The 22,793-nt window shown below is 45.3% G+C and overlaps 1 protein-coding gene across 2 annotated transcripts in view, besides 2 other annotated features; it reads left to right on the top strand.

Annotated features, from left to right (window-relative positions):
* NFRKB (nuclear factor related to kappaB binding protein) overlaps positions 1-22,793 on the top strand; it is a 31,943-nt gene that overhangs the window by 3,761 nt on the left and 5,389 nt on the right. The window contains exons 4-24 of one of the 2 annotated variants that reach the window (NM_001143835.2): positions 3,023-3,224; positions 5,374-5,501; positions 6,209-6,383; positions 6,972-7,073; positions 7,675-7,748; positions 8,612-8,696; positions 9,187-9,367; positions 9,624-9,732; positions 9,965-10,091; positions 10,310-10,375; positions 13,275-13,354; positions 13,463-13,509; positions 14,433-14,493; positions 14,923-15,097; positions 16,355-16,461; positions 16,902-17,025; positions 17,238-17,317; positions 17,485-17,705; positions 17,803-18,073; positions 18,722-18,934; positions 21,557-22,324. In NM_001143835.2, coding sequence (NP_001137307.1) covers positions 3,023-3,224; positions 5,374-5,501; positions 6,209-6,383; positions 6,972-7,073; positions 7,675-7,748; positions 8,612-8,696; positions 9,187-9,367; positions 9,624-9,732; positions 9,965-10,091; positions 10,310-10,375; positions 13,275-13,354; positions 13,463-13,509; positions 14,433-14,493; positions 14,923-15,097; positions 16,355-16,461; positions 16,902-17,025; positions 17,238-17,317; positions 17,485-17,705; positions 17,803-18,073; positions 18,722-18,934; positions 21,557-22,324 — 3,396 coding nt within the window. Of the gene's footprint in view, positions 1-3,022; positions 3,225-5,373; positions 5,502-6,208; positions 6,384-6,935; positions 7,074-7,674; positions 7,749-8,611; positions 8,697-9,186; positions 9,368-9,623; positions 9,733-9,964; positions 10,092-10,309; positions 10,376-13,274; positions 13,355-13,462; positions 13,510-14,432; positions 14,494-14,922; positions 15,098-16,354; positions 16,462-16,901; positions 17,026-17,237; positions 17,318-17,484; positions 17,706-17,802; positions 18,074-18,721; positions 18,935-21,556; positions 22,325-22,793 lie in introns of both variants that reach the window. The other variant, NM_006165.4, reaches the window with a different exon arrangement.
* Positions 9,870-10,164: a silencer, noted in NCBI's record as "tiled region #15352; HepG2 Repressive non-DNase unmatched - State 12:CtcfO". NCBI's record gives its function as "represses a minimal TATA promoter and a strong SV40 promoter by Sharpr-MPRA in HepG2 cells {active_cell/tissue: HepG2}" and the evidence as "EXISTENCE:reporter gene assay evidence [ECO:0000049][PMID:27701403]".
* Positions 22,247-22,436: a silencer, noted in NCBI's record as "fragment chr11:129739277-129739466 (GRCh37/hg19 assembly coordinates)". NCBI's record gives its function as "represses an EF-1alpha promoter that drives an FKBP-Casp9 reporter gene in an ReSE screen in HepG2 liver carcinoma cells {active_cell/tissue: HepG2}" and the evidence as "EXISTENCE:reporter gene assay evidence [ECO:0000049][PMID:32094911]".

Genomic DNA, 22,793 nt, shown 5'->3' with positions numbered 1-22,793 from the left:
TGGTTCTTTTCAACTGTTTGAGACACTTTCATTCCCTGATATTTATGAAGTACATGTTTATCACTAAATGTAGTAGTTTGGTTTACATTAATAATTTGATGTGTGGTCTAAAAATGCAGTCACTAAGAGGGTGTACACTGTGGTTACGGATTGATTGGCAGTGGAGTACCATGGAGGCCACTGCAGTGGTGCTAATGGTGCTAAGGCTAGCGGTGGAATTTCTGTGTAGGGCCTTAAGTCCTGGTGACTCAGGGAATCCATCACAGCCTGGGGGTCGTTCACCCCAGTTCACTCCTTTTCTGTTTGGCCTAGATTGCCCCATGGCTTCCCCTCATCCCAACAACTGAGTAGGGACCCAGGAATCTGAATGAGCTGATCATTATTTATGTTCAGATGAGTAAATGTCCAGACCAGTTAAACTATGGCTGTTTTTCTGGCGGTCTTTATCTGCAGGGCCCAAAGTTAATAAACCATAGGAAATAGACTGTCATTCTTAGTTTGCTGCCAGGGCTTATTTTAGATTCAGCGCGTATTGGTGCATGGGAGAGGTAGTGTCGTTTGCTCTGATTTTCAACCAGTGGGCTAGCTGGCATCTTTTGTGCTCCTGGCTTTTTTCAGTCATGGCACGATTGCATCTCCTAGCTGTTGCTTTTGCCCAGCAGGATAATATTGAGTCCCACTGCAAGCACGGACAAGGCCTCTGGTTCTGGTCACCACTACCTTTTCAACCGTAGAACATCACTGGAAATGCTTAATGCCTGGATCTATTTTCTACCAAAAACAGTTCCACTGGGAAGTCTTTCAGTGGGAAATGAATAAATGTTATACATTGTTATGTTCAGTTATGTCAATAAGACCACTTACTAATAGAAAATAAATAAACATTTTTAAAAGGTATATTTTAAAAGCAGAATTATATATGTGTTTAAAATGGTTACCATGTTGTGGAACATTAAACAAAACCTACACGTATTTTCTGTATCCATAAGGTAACCCTCTACTCAATAATGGTACGTGCCCTGGGATGGGATGCCAGCTTGTTTTTGTCCACTTTCACAGGCAAGATGCGTCATTGTCATCATTAAGGTGGCTACCGTTTATTAAGTGCTTATTATTTGCAAGCCACTATGTACGTGAAAACATTCATTTAATTATATATTTCTTTTGTTTTGCCATATTTTGAACATACAGGTGTGGAGCATGGTATAGCAAACAGTCATCTATGCATCACCCAGTTTTAAGAGATAATTTAGTTTGTTTGTTTCACATTCTTCTTTGGTCGTATGCCAAACATTATGGATAAAATGAAAGCCACCAGTGTGCTGTTCTCTGATCCTCCCTCCCAGCTACAGTAACAACTGTACTGCAGTTGGTGTATATACTTCCCATCCATGTTTTCTTGGCATACTCTTTCAGGGCAGTCCCTTTATGTTACTCATGTAGTCAGCAAACACTTGTTCTATTAGGCGCCTCTATGCCAGACACTGAGTTAGATGCTAGGAATAAAATGTAGGCAAAAATAGGCTTGCAGGGGAAGATCCTGGGCATTGGGACTGAGGTGTTTTTGATACGTTCATGCAAAGATGCCTGGAGTGGGTGGTTGGATTTCTGGGTTGTTTCCTGCTGAAACCCTTTAGTGGGTCTCCATTGTCCTTAGGGATAAAAGTCACAACTACCTAAAATGCTTGCCGTCCTTTGCATCTTTCTGCTGTCTGCTGCCTCCACCTCCCTCCCTGTCCTTGATCTAGCCAAATATTGCCTGAACTCTAAAAAAACAAAAAAAAAAAACAAAAAAACCCAAAAAGTATCACACAGAAGCGTATATAAAATGCATACACACACACACACACACACACACACACACACGTAAGACAATAATAAAACGTGCATGTAGCCTTCAGTTAGGGTAGGGACACTACTAAGACCACTGAAGCCCACCACCACGTACCCTGTCTTATCCCTCTCCATTCCCCCACAGGTAACTGCTATCCTTTCTTTTGTGTTAATTCTTTTTTTGTTTTTCTGGTGTTGCTCTGTGGATTTCTAACCTTCTCCCCCACCGTCTTTTTTCTCTTTCCTCATCCCTCTCCTGTCTTAACCGTTTTTTGGTGAGCATTCTCTGACATTGTAAATGTGGGATGTTTGCTTCTATACACATCAGCACTTCTTTAACTACATTGTAACTGCATGTTTAATTGTTCCCCACCTCAGACCATATATATGCCAGGCCAAGTTAGTATTTTGCTCGTGGAAGGTATCCAGTATATAACTCGGGAGTTGAAAATGAACCCCATCCTGTTTCTTCTCACTCTTAGCTGGTGACTTCAGTCCCTCAAGTTCATTCCTTCTATGTTAACCTTTTCCTGCCACTCAGTTGAGGCGGAATTCAGATGTCCACCCTCATACCCTCGTTGGCAGAGGTGGCTTCCAAGTGGGATTCTCTACTAAAATGATTTTCCTCTGGATAATTATTTACTGTTGGATACAAGACTGTGGCTCATATGTAGTCTTTAATCTCAAGATCATTGGAATTTTAGTTTATTTTAAAAAATCTTAGGCCAGGCATGGTGGCTCATGCCTGTAATCCCAGCACTTTGGGAGGCCGAAGCAGGCAGATCACCTCAGGTCAGGAGTTTGAGACCAGCCTGGTCAACATGGTGAAACCCTATCTCTACTAAAAATACAAAAAATAGGCAGGCGTGGTGGTGCGCACCTGTAATCCCAGCTACTCGGGAGGCTGAGGTAGGAGAATCGCTTGAGTCTGGGAGCAGAGATCGTGCCATTGCACTCCAGCCTGGGCAACGAGCAAAATTTGGTCTCAAAAAGAAAAAAAAAAAAATGTAAAAAATTAGTAGTGATAGTTGCACAGCAAATGTGAATGCACTTAAGGCCACTGAAGTCTACACTTAAAAATGGTTAAATTGGTAAATCTTATGTATATTATGTAATGTTTTGTATACGCATACATACAAAAAACTCAAAAATTTATTTTACTTTTGTTTACTTTTCCTATTTCTCCTAGCCTGAGATCTTCTTTGATGTTGTCAGCCTCTCAACATGGCAGGAAGTGTTAAGTGATTCTCAACGTGAACACCTCCAGCAGTTTCTGCCCCAGTTTCCTGAAGACAGTGCTGAGCAGCAGAATGAACTCATCTTAGCCTTGTTCAGTGGGGAGAACTTCCGCTTTGGAAACCCTCTGCACATTGCCCAGAAGCTTTTCCGAGGTTTGTAGCTCAGTATTCTTTCTTTGAGGGGGGTGGTGGATGGGCACACGTTCACTTTATGTGGGTATTCCTTTCTTCCTTTTCTTCTTTTTATCTTCATGTACAGATACTGAGGCAGCAAAGAGCGGTTTTGTGTAACACTTTGCTGTCTAGGCTGTGTTCTAAAAAACAAAAATGTATTGACTTATATAGAAAATACATAATATGAATTCAGCTTGTAACCAGCATCAGCTTGTAACCAGCATCTACATAAAAAAATAAAACATTTCCAGCATACTAGAGGTGCCCTTCATGTCTGGTCTTTAAAAAATTTTAAAAAGAGCTTGCCATTTGCTTTATTGCACGTATCAAGGTTCGTGTGTGTGTGTGTTTAGGTACACACACACTTTTTGCTGCAGAAAATATGACACTTCACTGCCAAGCACTTCAGCATGTCCATGTCTCTTAACAGACACTTTCCCATATCATCACCGCCCTGTTACCACACTCAAGGAATTTTACATTGAGCAGATAATATCATAGGCTATTTCATGTTCAAATTTTCTTTTCTTTTCTTTGGGACAGAGTCTCGCTGTGTCGCCCAGGCTGGAGTGCAGTGGCGCAATCTCAGCTCACTGCAAACTCTGCCTCCCGCGTTCACGCCATTCTCCTGCCTCAGCCTCCCTAGTAGCTGGGACTACAGGCGCCCGCCACCACGCCTGGCTAATTTTTTGTGTTTTTAGTAGAGACAGGGTTTCACTGTGTTAACCAGGATGGTCTCGATCTCCTGACCTCGTGATCTGCCCGCCTCGGCCTCCCAAAGTGCTGGGATCACAGGCGTGAGCCACCGCACCCGGCCTTCATGTTCAAATTCTCTTGATTGTTCCTGCAATGTCCTTTAGAGTAGCTGTGTAAATCCAGGATCTGTTCAGGGTTCATGCATTGTGCTTGGGCCTTACGTCTCTTTAGCTTTTTGAATCTAGGTAGGGCGCTTTGCCCCTTTTGTTTTTGTCTTTCAGTACACGAAGAGCCAGGACACTTGAATTATAAAATGTCCTGCTTCTTGGGAATTTGTCATTTTGTTTTCTCATGGTTAGATTGGGTTAAAGGCTTTCGGCAGGAATATGATATAGGAAATGTGGTCTTTCCCATTGTGTCACCTCAGGAGGCACATGGTATCAGGTTTTCCATTTTGGTAAAGCCACATTTGCTCACTTGGTTAAGGGGTGTCTGCGGTACCTCTTGCTTGTAAGGATACTTTATTCCTTTATCATTAAGAAGCAGTGTGGGATGATACTTTGGGATCATGGATCATGTGATAGTCTCATTTTCCAAAAGCCTTTGTCTTACCCAGTAGTTTCTGCTTCCATGGGTGATTCTCAACTGCATCAGTTACTATATTGGGGGTTGCAAAATGCTTTGGGCCACTCTTTAAGTTACAGTTTGCTTTCTGGACCATGGAGAGGAGCCAAGGAAGCCTCTTCCTCTTCCCTTCCAGGGTGACTTTGTTCTGGCACAAGGCCCTGAATGGGCAGCACATCTGGAATTCTGTTAAACTTGACAACTTGACAGCTGCTAATGACCAGAGAGAGTAGCCTTTTCACCTGAAATCGCATTATATTAAGGGTGTAAAATGAACATTCCCTTCTTTGGTGGGTTACTAGTGTAAAAAGGAATTCCCCTCTATGGTTGGCAGAGATCTGTTTCACTACAGCTGAGGGTGCACTGTCTCCTCTGATAGAGCAGAAGTTGGGGACCCACTTGGCTTTAGAGGGGCTCTGTAAGGGACCTTCCATAAAGGTAGCACTGTCTCTTTTGCTGGCATGTTTCCCCCGAAACAGTATGGTCGTCTGGTAAGGATACAGATGAGGAATGTCAAGGCAGGACTTCCTGCATATTCCACTCTGACCCATGCCATGTGTCAGTTCTAGTGCTGCTGAAGACAGTTGCATTACTGTGGCTGTGATGATCATCAGCCTTAAATGAGCTGTCATTGCTTCTCAGCACGCTTTTACTTTTGGTTCTCCTTCTTGATTCTCTTAAATGTTCACTTTTCCCTTAAGTTTTGTGGTACAGAGTTTACCATGTTAAGCACTCATTCAATATATTTGTTGACTGATGATGTATATTTGTTGATTGATGTAAATATATATACCTTTATTTTTTTAAGACGGACACTTTAACCCCGAGGTGGTCAAGTACCGGCAGTTATGCTTCAAGTCACAGTACAAGCGCTACCTCAACTCCCAGCAGCAGTATTTCCATCGGCTGCTGAAGCAAATTCTTGCTTCCCGGAGTGTAAGTAGTGCTGGGAACTGGATATAAAATGTGGGCAGTCACAGGTATCATGACTTCAAGAAGCAATTCAGGTGCAAAACACAAAAATTGCCACGAAGAAAAAAATGCTACCAATTAATCTGTGACACAGTTAAGCTATGCCATCCTTTCTTATGATAAACTTCAAATGTGTCCTGATTTCAGAGATGTTAAAACATAAAATGTGCTTCTTAAAATTGATGAAATTATAGTAGCTTCAGTGTTTACGAAGATAAACAGATGGATTTTGGATCTATCATGGGTTATTAAGGGAAACGAGGATTCCTTGGAATGGATATGAAAGTGTGCATGGGCCTCTGAATGCTGTGATGGATGGTAGCATAACAGGCCCAATAGCCCCTGGGTCTGGACCAGCCTGGAAATTCTTAGAGGCAAAGCTGTTTGGATTTTAAGTCATCCTTTAAGCTTTGGTGTAGAAATACTTGAATGTCTAGTATAAAAAAGTATTCATTCCTAGTAGAGCACTTCAACAGTCAGATTTGGGATTTTTCATGTAATCAATACAGATTCTTCGGATATATTAATATATATGTGCATCTTTCTTTGTGATCTGGAGGGAGGGAGTTGGGCTTAACACTGAAGAGAAGAAAATGTAGACTTGTAGAGTGTTCATTGTTCCAGAACAGGTCTTGGATGATGACTTGTACCCCCACCTGATCTCTACCTAGGATCTGCTGGAGATGGCCCGGCGGAGTGGCCCCGCCCTTCCCTTCCGGCAGAAACGCCCTTCACCATCCCGCACACCTGAGGAGCGGGAGTGGCGGACCCAGCAGCGCTACTTGAAGGTCTTAAGGGAAGTGAAAGAGGAGTGTGGTGACACAGCCCTGTCATCTGATGAAGAGGGTGAGTGTCCTCGGGCACTTGGGGTAGCTGGGGTATTGGATGGATACCGGCCACTTGTCCGGTTGGAGCCAGTGGTAGCCATTTATCTCCCCAGCAAAGAAACCCTCTTGAGTTGTCTGGTCTGGGGTGCATAGCGGGACTCAGAAGGCCTTGGTCTTTGGGTTGCTGAGACATTGCCATCAGATGGGGAGTGACTCCATGGCCTTTTTCACCCTTGTGGCCATGTGGCATTTGAGCTTAGATGAGAGCCCGCCAGACGACTCCCTGCACGACGGGGTTCTCCACAGTGGGCCTGACTGGTCCCATTTGCCACTTGAGAGAACTGTTTTCCCCTTACAGGAGAGTAGTAGTGGCTCTTGGCCTGCTGCAATGCAACCCCAGCACTCTGTTGAAGTCTCTCTTCCTGGAAGAGCCGTTAGATGACCTAAGTGTGCTCCAGCTCCTCTGGGGTAGGGTCAGAAAGGATTGTGGAACCCTGGCCTCCATGTTGTTGGCTTAGCCTTGTTGAACCCAAATGGCCACTTACCCAATCTCCCCTATTGGAGTCCACAGCCACGTTGGATTTACAAGAACAATTTTCTTTTGAAGATCTCAGCTCATGGCTTCCGAGCTCTCCAGCACGTTCTCCTAGTCCTGCGGTGCCCCTGCGGGTGGTGCCCACACTTTCAACCACGGATATGAAAACTGCAGGTGAGAACCAAGCTGCCGCTGTCACCATTCTGGGACATTGCGGTGGAGACCTGAAAACTCCTTTAGAGGGAGGTGGGTGGGGGCAGATTCCTACCTACCAGGAAAACAAAACTCCCTAGAACTAGGTGATTTGTTTGGCAAAGTTTTTGTACCATTTTACTTTTTTTTACATCTGGAGATAGGCCTGCCTTTTTTCTTTTGTTTTAAAATTTTTTCTCAGAAGCTGATATTTTGGGCTAAAGAAAGCAAAATCTTGAAACAGTAGTACGAAGGGGCAGTGCGGTAAGCGGACAAAGGAATAACCAGAGCCAAGCCGTTCTCCAGAGTGTCTGTGAGTTTGGAGAAGAGTTTTTGTTTGGAACAGGAAGCAAAGATGGTTAAGAACTTTAAGTGTGTTTTAGGACCAGCTGAGTCACAGAAGTCATATATTACCAACGTATGGAAAAGTGGAAGTGTCGATCCTGTGACTTTAAAGATTTTTGGTACTTGTAGTTCACAGGTGTCAGAAGGGAAACTCAGAAATATCTTACTTTTGAAAGTGACCAGAAAGATGTAAATTGGAGAATCATGATAGTGAATATGGTTTGGTTTGTTTTCTCAGATAAAGTAGAACTGGGGGACAGTGACCTGAAGATAATGTTAAAGAAGCACCACGAGAAGCGGAAACATCAGCCAGTAAGATGGGAAGGGCGTGCGGCCGTGTGGTTTTCAGCCTGATGTCTCAGGATTGGCTGTCCTGAGGAAGACACGGGGCATCACTGCCTCGTCTGTATGTCCTCCCTACCACTGTGGGCACAGGAGCAGCTGGCGAGGCTAGCTAGCATCAACGATGTGAGGCACGGTGGCTTTGACTTCGCAGGGCCTGCTGAATGTAGTGTCTGCCTTAATCGTTACAGTGACACTGTCGAGTATAGGAATCGTCTCCACCTCAGCAGTGCTCAAGAGGTTAGGGAGCTTGTCCTTGGTCCTATAGCCAGGAAGCAGCAGAGCCAGGAGTTGGGCCCTGGGTTTGTCCCACTTTTTACTGTTTCCATTATTCCATGCTACCAAGTTGAGGTAGCTAGCACCAAGCCAGAGAGTTCAGTGGAGAAAAGATGATACCTTTTTGGGAAGAAAAGACAGTCCTTCTAAGACTAGGAGGTGAGATGGGAAGAACCCCACATCAGAAGTCAGTACTGAGTTCTCTCTCTTTTCTAGTTACTGTGATACTTCTCTAAAGCCCATTTCCAGACTCTGTAAAACATAGTAATACTTAACAAGACTGTTTGCAAAGCACATGAGACAAGGAATGCAGAAGAGCTTTATAATTAAATGCTGTACGGTAGAAAGATTGGAACTGGGTTCTGTGCAGCAGTATCAAGTTAATTAAATGGGGATATGATAGGGAAAAAATGAATAGTTTTATCTCTCTATATTTTTGACTCAATGTGATTTCCCCAAGTGTACCTAACATCTAATTGTTACATAAATTGGCAAAGTCACCTCAGTTTTTGCTCCTTTTTGGGCCTCCATGACCAAATTCTGGATATCACATCTAGGATCACCCGGACCTTTTGACAGGGGACCTGACTCTCAATGACATCATGACTCGAGTAAATGCTGGCAGGAAGGGCTCTCTGGCAGGTAAATGACTGGGCCCCTCTAGGAGCCTTCATCTGACTATGGTGTTAAGTTGCGTGAGCCCATAACATGGCAAAAATAAATGAAACCATGGCCTCTCTCATGCTGGTAACCTTTATTATTACCTCTTACAGGCTAACAGGTGGGAAATGAATGTAAAATCAGTACAACAGAGCATCAGCTCTTTAATAAATATTAAAATTAAGCTGTATACTTGGGAGGCTGAGGTGGGAGAATCGCTTGAACCGGGGAGATTGAGGCTGTAGTGAGCTATGATCGCACCACTGCACTCCAGCTTGGGCAACAGAGTGAGATCCTGTCTCAAAAAAAAATAAAGCTATAAATCACTCAATGAATTTGGTTTCATTGAGTGTTTTATTACTGAGACTTTTCTGTCTTTGGTGGGCCTTGGGAAAAGAATATGCAGATAAGACCCCTCACTTCCCTGTGTAGGAGATACATTTCTGTGACTGGTGTTACTTTGCCTTTCTAGCCTTATATGACTTGGCTGTCCTTAAAAAAAAGGTTAAGGAAAAAGAGGAAAAGAAGAAGAAGAAAATAAAAACGATCAAATCAGAGGCAGAGGACCTGGCCGAGCCGCTAAGCAGTACTGAAGGGGTCGCACCTCTCTCACAGGCCCCCTCTCCGCTGGCAATTCCTGCTATCAAGGAAGAGTAAGTGAGCAACAGAGATTCTGTAATTCTCAGGGTGAATGGGTAAGCCATAGGCTGTGCCCTGGCCCCTAGGGCTTGTCGTAGCTGTAAGTATGTTGGACTTGTAGACCTGAAGTCCCAGGGATACTGCTGGGAAAATATATTGTTTGCTCCTTTCTTGAACTCTTTTATGACTGCTAGGAGGCTTGGGCGCCTGAATCAATCTAGGGATGTGTTCTTGGTCTTTTTGGTTCTTATATTTTTCTTCCCTCATTAGGCCCCTTGAAGACCTCAAGCCTTGCCTTGGAATCAATGAAATATCTTCCAGCTTCTTCTCTCTTCTATTAGAGATCTTGCTGCTGGAGAGTCAGGCTAGCCTTCCTATGGTAAGCGTTTTGGAAAAGTTGGAGGTACATTAGAGTTTTCAAAGTGTTCAAATCCTGAATGGTCTATAGCTTGAGAAGTGGAACTCTGAGTTCCTCTCAACGCTCTGTAGTTAACTTGCTTTGTGATTCGGACAAACACCGGATGCATATACTGCAGGTTGTGGTGGCACTTGTGTGGAATTGCTGGTGTGGAAGAGAAGTCTGACTGGGTTCTGCCTTTGCTTTCCCTCAGCTAGAGGAGCGAGTTTTGGATTGGCAGTCATCGCCAGCCAGCTCCCTCAACAGCTGGTTCTCTGCGGCCCCCAACTGGGCTGAGTTGGTACTACCAGCCCTGCAGTATCTTGCTGGAGAAAGTCGAGGTAAGATGCTCTTTTTTGTAGGGTCAGTATTTTTCCCCCTTTTGTCTAATTAATTATTAGAATAAACTGCAGCTTTGCTCGTGTAATCCATCATGCCTTTGCATAATGCTATGCCTTGAAGGTTCCTGCTTTTCTAATACATTGTGGAACACTCAAAAGCTGTTTCGGAGCTCAGGGACGCACCTGTATGGTTTGTTTATGTGGTCCATTTCTTGCAGCTGTTCCTTCCAGTTTCTCTCCATTTGTTGAATTCAAAGAGAAAACCCAGCAGTGGAAGTTGCTTGGTAAGTGATCCGTATTACCTACCCCAACAGGTTTTCGTTCTCCCATTTCTTCCCCTAAGTTTATTTGCCTTCCAGTCAATATAGTCCTGCAGATTGGTTTTAAAAAGCAATATCAGACCTTATTTTGCTCTGTGAAGGAGTCCTTCAACACCCTTTTTGTACTCTCAAGGTGGGTTAACTAACTCCTCTGGTTGGACCAAAGCTGAGATGGAAGGAATAGCCTTTCTGTATGATGTAGTCTGGTGATGGCTAAATTTAAATCTGCAAGGGTATTTTGCAAGAGCATCGACATTTATATTAATCATACAGATGACTTTGGATTAATTTGTAATATAAATTTTTTCTTTCCTAAAAATGGGCTTTGCTATTGAGGAGAGTGTGCAGCAGCCCCGAATAAGTTGTTTCTAAAGAACAGGGTTGTTATTTTTAAGTTTATAAAGCCCACTTAGTGTGTAAGTTGTCATAACATGCATCTGAAGTCACTTGGAGGCTGTTACCTGGTGATGGTGAAAAGAGAGAAATCCAGTGTTGGTTTCTTCTTGAAATTCACAGGCACTTCTCTGTGCTGAGTGGTCTGTGGAGAAGCGTATGGAGAGCAGGTTATGAAAACGGTAGACTCATTCATTCGTTATTTATTACATTTATTCAGCTTCTGGGTGTCAGGCACTGTTAGGTGCTGGGGGACACAATGGCTTCTGAGACAGTGTGCTCCTCTCGTAGGGCCTAAGGTCTGTTTGGGGAAGAAATACTTACTTAGATTTAATGACAAAATGATCCTTTCTGTGAAGGAAAAGTACCAGAGAGGATGGGGGTTTATGATAATAGGAATTGATGTAGTTTGCAGAGTTTGGAGGACCTTCCTGAGGAAGCAGCATCTGAGCAGAGGTGTATGATGAATAGCACTGAGCCAGACAGGCAGAGGGGAGGCAGCAGCATTTGAGATGGAGGAGGTAGAACCTTTCCATGGGGAAGATTTGATCTAAAACAGCCACACAACCCACGGGCTGTGAGAGCTGACGGTAATTTAGACACAGGGAGAGAGGATGGATACGTTTGAGAAAGACTTAGGTGGGCTTGGTTATGGCTTGGCTGTGGGGAATGAAGGAGAATGGTGTGAGGCATGGCTCCTGTTAGATTTGCAGCTGGTGGAGGAAGGTGTTGTTTGTGCAGGTAGCAGCTGTGGAGGACTGGACTTGGAGGGTGGAGATCCCGAGTTTAGTTTTTAAAATTTATTTATTTATTCATTTATTTTTTGAGACAGAGTCTTGCTCTGTCCCCAGGCTGGAGTACAGTGGCACGATCTTGGCTCACTGCAACATCTGCCTCCCGGGCTCAAGCAATTCTCCTGCCTCCTCCTACTCCTGAGTAGCTGGGACCACAGGCGTACGCAACCATGCCTGGCTGTTTTTTGTATCTTTAGTAGAGACAAGGTTTCCCCATGTTGTCCAGGCTAGTCTTGAACTCCTGAGCCCAGGTGATCCACCTGCTTTGGCCTCCCAAAGTGCTGGATTACAGGTGTGAGCCACTGCACCCAGCCTGACTTTAGTTTTAGAGCTGCATTTGAGGTATTTCAGTGGAGTTGTTGAATAGACAGTAGGATGTGTGGGTTTAGAATTCAGACCAGAGAGTTTAAGGGGGAGAGTGTTGGCATGTGTGTGGTGCAGGGCACAGATGATGCTGTTACCTGAGGAGGAAGCACAGAGTGAGGAGAGAGGGCCGAGGAGGGCTCTTCACGGCAGAGGGGCTGAGTGACAGCATGAGAGTGCGGGGGCAGGGGTTGACTATAGAGATGGGGAAAGCCTGGAGCAGGGTTTTCCTGAGTCTTGGGAGCCAGGAGACCGGATCGCCTGAGAAGTGGGGAGTGGTCATTTGCCTCCATAGTTCCTAAAAGATTCAGTAAGATAAAGACTAAAGATTTGCAAACATGGAGGAAGTTGTGAATTTTTCAGTGAGCGTGATTCTCTAGTGGAACGGTGGAGGCGAAGCCACCGTGAGCTGAAGGTGATGATGGTAGCTGACTGCAAGCACTCCCCCCATCTGTCAGGCTGCAGTAGCCATGGAGGGAGCACATATACCTGGGCCTGGCAGAATGTTTCTTGTAGGGCCAGATAATAAGCGTTTGAAGCTTGTCGGCCAGATGCTTTAGTTGAAGCTACTCTGCCATTGTTGGGAGGTTTCTGCAAATAGTGATATTGTGTATTGACCATGAAAACAAAGGTAAACAGCCCCTTTGAGAAGGGTAGCTGCATTCATCACATAAGCAGACCTGGCCGATGATGGTCCTGTGGCTTCTATGCTGGGCAGGAGACACAGGTGCCATCAGGGTCTCAGACAGCCTGAACAGAGTGACCTGAGAAGAGGGCACAGGAGACAGGGCTTATCTCTTTCTAGGCGGGTTGTGGAAAGTCAAGCTTTTTCCTGCCCCTGGGTCTTAACTGCTATGCTAGTGAATAGAATTTTCTCTGTGCCCCACTAGCCAGAAGCCTTTCTTACCTACAAAAATAGAATAATTACCTTGGTATAAGCTATGATGACATCCTTTGTGATGCTTACCACTTTTTGAATTGATTTTAAAATATGTGCTCTTTCCTCACTTGACTATAAACTCCCATGAGGGTGGGGACTGAATTCACCGAGTAACCTTAGCGTCACATGCAGTGCGTGGCACAGTGGATACTCAGCGAATGCCTACGGAGTGAATGATTTCATTAGGTGGCATCCAAGAGTGGTGGTCCAGGCTGACTTCCGCCAGCTGGAAGGCAGTGGATGTGTGAAGGATTGTTGCTACAGCTCCTGATAGAATCTCTCTGTGTTGTAGTTACAGCTAGTAAAGAGAAAGCAGGATTCTCAATAATACCTTAGACCTTCTTATTTTTTTATCTCTTTATTCCTCTAATAGGCCAATCCCAAGATAATGAAAAGGAATTAGCTGCCCTCTTCCAGCTATGGCTAGAGACCAAAGATCAGGCCTTCTGTAAGGTATGTTTTTTTAAGAAATACCAGATCCTTCTCACTGGGTTTCCAGAGCTCTTAAGTTTGCCCAAATTCTTTAGTCCATTTACCTGTCAACGTTTTCTTTTTCTCCAGCAAGAAAATGAAGACAGCTCAGATGCCACAACACCTGTCCCTCGGGTGTGAGTACAATACTGTAGTGGTGGGTGGTGTCCTGGGAAACTGTAGTTCAGATACTGCCTTGGTTTTGTTAATACTTCTTGGTATGCTAGAGCTGTAATGGGCTTCAGAGCTCTGAGGAGTCCCCTGGTTCTTCCTGACTTGGCCGCACCCCCTGAGTGAACGGGACTCCTTGTGGAAGGGGCTGTGGTGGAGAGAGGGGACGGCAGGAGAGCCTCTAAGGGGCATATGACCTGCTTTGTAGGTGGACATACTTTTTTAATGTGTACTCCTCCCTGGGCTCCTACTTGAGAATTATTCATCTAGGCCATCTTAGTCCAGTAAATGGAAGCATGAAGTTGAGTGACTTGCTGAAGGTTAGCAGCAGGACCCCAGCTAGAACTTAGATCTCTTGACTCTTAGTCCTAGGCTCTTTATATCACATTGTCCCATGTTTCTTTTTCTTCCCTGGCATGGTTCGGTAGTTTTCTGACACCAGGACAGAGGCCCGGTCTAAGTGTGGCAGAACTTTTGCTTCATGTAATAGAGGTGTAGATCTCAAGCCCCGGGTACTTTCCCTGGAGGTAGAAAAACAACCCTTATCTAACACACCTGAAGCCCTTTGTTCCTCTAAGGCCGAATTGTTTGTTGCCTTTAGAACGGACCTACTTAACAGCAATATTGAAAGCAGTAGTTAAAGATGTCAGCCTCTTGTCCATCTATCCACCCAGTACCTTTCTGGGTTTCTAAGAATCAAGTGATTTTGGAATTACCAACAGGAGTTACTTCGTAGGAGCTGGAAGGTGGGCTCTTCGCCTTTGTAAGAATTGAGTGCTTCTTGAGGGACATCTTTCCATGTCACAGTGGGAATGGTTCTGAAGCAGGGGCAATGGGTCTGACACACGTGCCAGCTGTCAGGGTTGATACAGAATTCTTTATATTCCAGAAGAACTGACTATGTGGTGCGTCCCAGCACGGGGGAGGAGAAACGGGTTTTTCAGGAGCAGGTAAGAACCTAAAAGCCAGTGTAAGTCTCTGCCTCTGTGAGCCATGCAGAGAGATGCTCTGAGCCTGACTCTCCTGCATCTACCTTCTTGCAAGAAACTCATACCTTTCCCCTTAGACCTTCTGTTGGCTGGGATTACTTGTTGGGGGTGGAAACGGTGTGGGGAAGGGGAGTAAGAAATACTTGGATGATCTTGTCTTCCAGGTAGCAAAGTGCCTTCATATTACCTCCTTGTCCCTCTGCTCAGTGACTGGCTCTGAGAACCATCCTTTTCCCACTGTGGTTGGCTGAACATTCCTACTAGAATCATAGAATCACTTGTTCCTTCCTGTTTTAATTGTTCCATGTGGATCTGCTTATATTGTAAGGAAGCCCGAGAGAGAACCCCACTAATTCTGACCTAGAACTCTTGTCCCTTGTCTCTTGGTAGGAGCGTTACAGGTATAGCCAACCCCATAAGGCGTTCACCTTTCGCATGCACGGCTTTGAGTCTGTGGTGGGGCCAGTGAAGGGCGTGTTTGACAAGGAGACCTCGCTCAACAAGGCTCGGGAGCACTCCCTGCTGCGCTCCGACCGGCCTGCCTACGTCACCATTCTGTCTCTTGGTAGGTGGCACGTGTCGATTATCAGAGATCCCTTTCTTCACCCCGCAGCTTTTCTCTTACCAACTCTGAACTCTGTCCTCTCCTTACCCCTCCACCCAGGGTAGGCTTTGAGAACAAGGCATAGTTTTTCAAAGCATTGCAGTTTGGGAGCTGAAGGGGACATCTTCAGCTCCCAGTCTTCTTCCTTAAGTCTGGGCTTACATTTATGTTCATTTAGGAGTTGCTCCCAGACCAGCTAAATAGGTTAAATACAGGAATTTGCTTTCTCCAGGCTATGCTTCATTTAACAGTGAGGATTCTTAGCTTTTTGAATGCCAGGAATCCCTTTGGCAGTCTGGTGGAACTTGTGGACCCCTTCTCAGAGTTATGCTTTTAAATGTATGAAATAAAATACAGTTACAAAAGAGACCAGTTGTTTTGAAGTAGTTATCAAAATGTTAAAACAAGTTTATGGTGCAGAAATATGTGTTGTTACTATGATGTTATATGACAAGATCTAGCAGGAGGTCTGACATTTCTTGAAATTTCCAAGTAGTGATGAGTATAAATGATATTCTTAGCTATCTGCAGTAGCTGTAATATATGAAAATGTCTGATTTCTATTACACCATCACAGCACTGCAGTATATGGTTTGTTCCCTTTGTTCATAATTAAAGGAAATACTTAATTTCAGTTTAAGATGTAATTTTGCTTCCCACCTGAGTTCACAGGCCCTCTGAATTCTTAAGGTGTTACCTAAAAGTGACTCTTAAAAGTGTGTAAGGGCTGGATGCGATGGCTCATGCATGTAATCCCAGCACTTTGGGAGGCCAAGGCAGGCGGATCACCTGAGCTCAGGAGTTCAAGACCAGCCTGGTCAACGTGATGAAACCCTGTCTCTACTAAAAATCCAAAAATCAGCTGGACATGGTGGTGCACGGCTGTAATCCCAGCTACTAGGGAGGCTGAGGCAGGAGGATTGCTTGAACCTGGGAGGTGGAGGTTGCAGTGAGCTGAGATCACGCCCTTGCACCTCAACCTGGGTGACAAGAGCGAAACTGTCTCAAAAAAAAAAAAAAAAAAAAAAAGAAGTGTATAGGGAACTCCAGTGGCTGAGCTGCCAGCTGCTGGAGGGCAGAGTGCACCTAATCCGGCATCAGGGAAGGTAGAGGAGCAGGAACCCCAGGCAGCTTTGCCCATCACTGCAGGTACAGGAGATTGTACCTCCGTAGGAACCCTGCCTGACTTGTGGACTGTGTGCTTTCTCATGTCATCAGTTCGGGACGCTGCGGCTCGACTGCCTAATGGAGAAGGCACACGGGCAGAGATCTGTGAACTGCTTAAGGACTCCCAGTTTCTTGCACCAGATGTCACCAGCACTCAGGTAGGACGGAGAAGAGATTACTTTTGCTTTGTTCCAGAATGGATTTAAGAAAACTTATCAGGAAATACAAAATATAACAAAATTTTTAAAAACTGAATGAAGTGAAAAACATACCTTGAAAAATGCATAGTGATCAAAACGCTTGCTGTTAGTGAAACACAAATTTTGCTCTAGGCTTTCTTTTAGCTTATGATAAAGGGCAGACTGGTCACTTACTTCACAGTATCCTTATAGTAAAAATAGATCAATACCTCAGTAGTCTTAACAGCATTTATTGTCTCGTCAAACGATTTGGGGAACTATTGGGAATACGCAGCTAGGCTGAGATAGAATCTGCATCAGCTGTGATTTAGATACAATGACATTTTTTTCCTAGAGTTCAAATAACTTCTGTTATCTAAGCTTGACTTGTTTCTTATTTCCCTTTGTCTGATTTGTAGGTAAATACAGTAGTGAGTGGTGCACTGGATCGGCTACATTACGAAAAAGATCCCTGTGTGAAATACGACATTGGACGAAAGCTGTGGATCTACCTGCATCGTGACCGGAGTGAAGAAGAGTTTGGTGTGTGAGGCCTCTGGGCACTGTCCGACCAGACTGGGGATACGTTCTGACTTTCTACCCCAATTCCATTATTCTTTTCATTGGCATATAGGTAGGACAAGATGGTAGAGGCAGGATTCAGTCCACTGGCAAGGTGTTGGTTTTTAACAAAGCCCCTCTTTTTAGTTTGCTAAGGTTAAACTCTGGCTGAAGCTTGCCCCTCTTGTTCACAGAGCGGATTCACCAAGCACAAGCAGCTGCAGCTAAAGCCAGAAAAGCTCTTCAGCAAAAACCCAAGCCCCCATCCAAGGTGGTAAGTGACTTCAGGAGAGTGTCTGCCCTAGGGATTCTGGGATGGAGGCAACTAAGAGTGGCTGCTCGGCTTTCACTTGGTGTGGGGCATCAGGAGCTGTAGGGGTGTCCCTTCCTTTAGGGGGATCTTCACGACACCAGGTGAGTTTTCTTTGTCTTCCGTTCTAGAAGTCCAGTAGCAAGGAGAGCTCCATAAAGGTCCTTAGCAGTGGCCCTTCTGAGCAGAGCCAGATGAGCCTCAGTGACTCCAGTATGCCACCCACCCCAGTCACACCTGTAACCCCCACCACACCAGCATTGCCCGCCATTCCCATCTCCCCTCCACCTGTATCGGCAGTGAACAAAAGCGGCCCTTCCACAGTCTCAGAACCAGCTAAGTCTAGCTCGGGGTAAGTTCCTCCTTTTCTTCAGCTTTTTCGTTCTAGAGTTCTTTTGTATGCATGTCCTAAGTTTTTGTTTTTTGTCTTTCCCCGATGTTCTTCATAGTGTTCTTCTGGTGTCTTCACCAACAATGCCACATCTGGGAACAATGCTTTCCCCAGCTTCCAGCCAGACTGCACCCAGTTCTCAGGCTGCCGCCCGGGTCGTGAGCCACTCTGGCTCTGCTGGACTGTCTCAGGTGCGAGTGGTGGCCCAGCCTAGCCTTCCTGCTGTTCCCCAGCAGTCGGGAGGGCCGGCACAGACATTGCCACAGATGCCAGCAGGACCGCAGATCCGGGTTCCAGCCACTGCCACACAGACCAAAGTAGTGCCCCAGGTAAACAGGGAAGCCGTGGTCATTGGGAAGCAGAGATGCAGACCCAGAGGTGGGCTGATGAGTCAGATGGGCAGTGTCTGGGTAAGGACTGGGGAGCCATAGATTATTGCTACTGGTGATGACATTCATCGGAATAAGCCACTGAATGTTCAGAGCTGTGTAAGCGTTTTTAGATAGTGTGTTTATGTGTTGGGAATCAGATCTTCAGAGCAGTCTGGTGGTTTCCCCGGGACCCTAACATCAGGATCTTCGTAGAGGCGGGTTGTAAATGCGGACCTTGTGAGTCTGCCTCTCAGGCTCCTTCTGCTGTGCCTCTAGTCTTAGCTACGCCATGAACTAGTTGTGTGAGTTTACAGAACATTTGTATCCTCTTTGTCTCAGTTTCCTTTGCTATAAAAGGGGTAAGATAGTATTTGTCCTCAGTGTGTAGGAATAAAATGAGATGTTAAATGTAAAATTCTGAAAATTAAGATATACACAAATGAGACATTTACAGTGTCCATTTTAGAGAGTGGTGTGCCTTAAGTACTGTGGGATTAGAAGCTCTTTGAGAGCAATGCTTCCGGGGTGCTGAGGGAGACTCTTGCTTAGAGTGCTGGTCTGCATCTTAGAGTCTAATTAAGCTCTTGGCCTCATGCCCTCAACTAGACAGTAATGGCCACTGTGCCCGTCAAAGCGCAGACTACGGCAGCCACTGTGCAGCGGCCTGGACCCGGGCAGACAGGGCTCACGGTGACAAGTCTCCCTGCCACAGCCAGCCCTGTGAGTAAGCCAGCCACGAGTTCTCCTGGGACCTCTGCTCCCAGTGCCTCCACGGCTGCCGTCATTCAAAATGTCACAGGACAGAACATCATCAAGCAGGTAGGTGGGGCTCTTTCCACGTGGATCTCAATCCTTCATCCTGGAGCAGGGACCACTGGAGCTGGAGGTTCTTGGCCAGACTGCATGCCCATGGGAAGAAGATTTGTCATCTTCGACTCTCAGCTTATAGATACTTAGGTGTGAGTTCCCACCAAAGGCAAAGGCAGTGCAGCTTTGATAGATGCTGAAGAGATTTCTTCTGTTTCATTCCGTTTAATTCAGCATTCAGTAGTCGAGTTTCTGGATTTAGAATAGACTGTTCATGAGTTTATTTAGTGAAATTCCCATGGCCACATTTTATTGGCTTCTCAGTTTACCACTCGTGAAAGTAGAATTTGCTTCTACTTTCTTGGTTGTGAATATAAAAGAATAATCATCGAACTTCAAAGAATCGTAAGCAGTATAGCAACTAATACTGATAGGAGTGCCTCCTGTGTGCCTGCACCGCGTTAAGCATTTTTTGCTTGTTAAATAGTCTAATCTTCTTAGCTCTGTGGGGTAGGCACTCTTATTATTTACAGGTGGAGAAATGGAACCACATAACGATAAAGTAATGTTTTTTTTTTGTTCAACAAACATTAAGCCAGAGAGTGTCCTAAGTATTGGAGATTTAATGGTACATTAAACAGACTAAGTCCTTGCCCTCGCGGAACTCGTATTCTCATAGAGCTAAGAGACGAGTACCTCAGTATGAGATAGTAATAAATGCTATGCTAATCAGTAGGCAGGCTCAGGGGTGGAGAGCAGTAGTGTGTTATTTTAGCTGCAGTGATTGGAGAAGGCCTCTCTGGGGAGGTGACATTTGAAAGAGATGAAAGAAAGCGTGCCATGAAGTGATGATTGGGAGATAAAACATTCGAGGCCCAGGAATGGCAAGTGCAGATGTTTTGTGTCAGGAATATGATTGAGGAACGAGAGGAAAATCATTGTGGCTGGAGTGTAGGGAGCAAGTGTGAGGGTGTTAGAAGATGAGGATGGGAGAGGTTGCCAGTAGTTAGATTATATGGGACTTTGACGTTAATTTAAATGTGAGGGGGAACCACTGGAAGATGGTGAGCAAGGGTGACTTGATCTGGTTTACATTTAAAGAAACATCCACCTGCTGGGTAGAATGAACAATGGGGGACAAGAACGGAAATGGGGAACCCCTGTAGGAGGCAGTGGCAGTCGTCCAGGTGAGAGGCAAGGCTGCCGCAGATGGGAGTGACCGTTCATCAGAGGTGGAGGGAGTAGTGGGGTCTGGATGTGGTTGAAGTGGGAGCCAGTGCGGTTTGCTGGTGGCTTGAGTAGGGGTCTGAGAGGAGGAAGGTGAGACTTACCCCATCCATGGCTTTGGCTTGGGCGCTTGGTTAGATGGTGGCATCATTTATTGAGGTAGAAGAAAATTGAGGTGTGGAGACTGCAAGACAGAGAAAAGTGTGGTCGGGAAGGTGTGAGGTGTAGTGGCAGCGTGAGATGAGACTCGGTGGATCAGGATAATGCGTGGGCTTCACTGGGCCAGTGGATTGGTGGCTTTTGGGGAATGGGTTCAAAAGAGAAGGCGAGGAAGTGGAGACAGTGAGTATGATTGGCCTCTGTACTCGTGGGTTCCACATCCTCAGATTCAGCTAACCATGGATTATTTGGAAAAAACCCCAGTAAAAAACAACAATACAACAAAAAATAATACAGATTAAAAAACCAATACAGTATAGAAGCTATTTACACAGGATTTACATTGTATTAGATATTATAGGTAATTTAGAGATGATTTTAACTACACGGGAGGATGTTTGTTGCTTTTATGGAGATAGTGCATTTTGTGTAAGGGACTTGAGCATCTGTGGATGTTAATATCTACCTAGGGGCATCCTGGAACCAGTCTCTCGCACATACCAAGGGGTGATTATATAGGTAGTTTTTAGAGGAATTTTGCTTCTGAAGAGAGCAGAGAACTGGAGTTGAATGTGGAGTGGAGTAGGTGGAGGGAGGTGTAGAGTTAGCCAGGATTGGTTGTTTTTTAGGGTGGGAAGTATTATAGCATGTTTGCATTCTGATGGCCGTAGTCCAGTAGAAGGGAGAAGATAGATCATGCCACAGAGAGACGAAGTCCCTGAGTAAGGTTAAAAGGCTTGCATCTGTTACACATGAGGGAATTGGCCTTAGGAGGTGGGAAGCCGGGCTCAGTTGTACACCTGTAGTCCCAGCTACTCAGGAGACTGAGGCAGGAGGAAATTTAAGCCCAGGAGTTCGAGGCTGCAGTGAGCTCTGATTGTACCACTGCATTCCAGCCTAGTGACATAGCAAGACCCCGTCTCAAAAAGTCCTTTTCTAGGTTATTGATGTATACAGAGATACTGATCAGTAAAATAATAGATCTTGGATTTACTTTAATATATTCTAATTCCTCCCTCCCCCACCACAGTGGGGAGGGATAGCTAAAACAAAGTATTAATTTTTGAAGCTGGGTGAAAGGGTATAAGGGTTTGTTATACTGTTCTCTACTTCTGTGAATGTTTGCAAAATAAAAAGTTAAAAAAAAAATACAAAACATCTACCCATGAAACGGAAGTTTGTCTAGTTGTATTTTGTAACCGGTTTACTATTGTGAATCCCTCATCAGTGCTGCTTCTCCCCATTCAGGTGGCAATCACTGGGCAGCTTGGTGTGAAGCCCCAAACAGGCAACAGCATTCCACTCACAGCCACTAACTTCCGCATCCAGGGTAAGGATGTATTGCGTCTGCCGCCCTCTTCCATCACCACAGATGCCAAGGGCCAGACGGTTCTGCGAATCACTCCGGACATGATGGCCACATTGGCCAAGTCCCAGGTTACCACAGTCAAATTGACCCAGGACCTCTTCGGGACAGGAGGCAACACTACAGGCAAAGGCATCTCTGCCACCTTACACGTCACTTCCAATCCAGTACATGCAGCTGATAGCCCTGCCAAGGCCAGTTCAGCCAGTGCCCCTTCATCCACTCCAACAGGTACCACTGTGGTCAAAGTGACTCCTGACCTCAAGCCAACAGAAGCCTCAAGTTCGGCTTTTCGCTTGATGCCAGCTCTTGGCGTGAGTGTGGCTGACCAGAAGGGAAAAAGCACAGTGGCCTCTTCAGAAGCAAAACCAGCTGCCACGATCCGCATCGTGCAGGGACTGGGAGTGATGCCTCCCAAAGCAGGCCAGACCATCACCGTTGCAACCCACGCCAAGCAAGGGGCCTCGGTGGCCAGTGGGTCTGGAACTGTCCATACTTCAGCGGTGTCCTTACCCAGTATGAATGCTGCTGTGTCCAAGACTGTAGCTGTGGCTTCTGGGGCTGCAAGCACCCCCATCAGCATCAGCACAGGAGCCCCCACCGTGCGGCAGGTCCCTGTCAGCACCACGGTTGTGTCCACGTCCCAGGCTGTGAGTAACTAGTGGTAAAGCTTAGGCCTTCTTTTTTAGAAAACTTAATCAAGGCTCAACTGCCCATTACCCGAGAAACTCCCTAAAAACTAGGAAACTTCTTTTTAGGAGTGGAAATTAGAGGCCCTAAAAGCACCTCGTTTACCCCAAATAGATTTATTTACTGATAGGCTTTTGTCTGTGTTTCCTTTGAAACACAATTTATGTGTCAGACTGTGTTTCCTTTGAAACACAATTTATCAAAGTATGATACTTGCATACATTCTTTTCAAATGGTAAAGAACAGTGCAGACAAAATAAAACCTGACTACGTTCCAGTTCTCCCTTCATGAAGACTAATTGCTGTTGGTAGTTCGGCATTTATCCTCCTAGTCCTTTTCTTGAGCATTTTCATACATGTACACGTAGTTTAAAAAACACCCATGAGAGACTTTATATATTCTGTGATTTGCTTTATTTGTTTGTTTAT

The sequence above is a fragment of the Homo sapiens genome, chromosome 11 (assembly GCF_000001405.40).
Source record: "Homo sapiens chromosome 11, GRCh38.p14 Primary Assembly".
NCBI classification, from domain to species: Eukaryota; Metazoa; Chordata; class Mammalia; order Primates; family Hominidae; genus Homo; species Homo sapiens.
The sequence above is the reverse complement of the archived record's forward strand: the minus strand, read 5'-3'. Positions and strand labels throughout refer to the sequence as shown.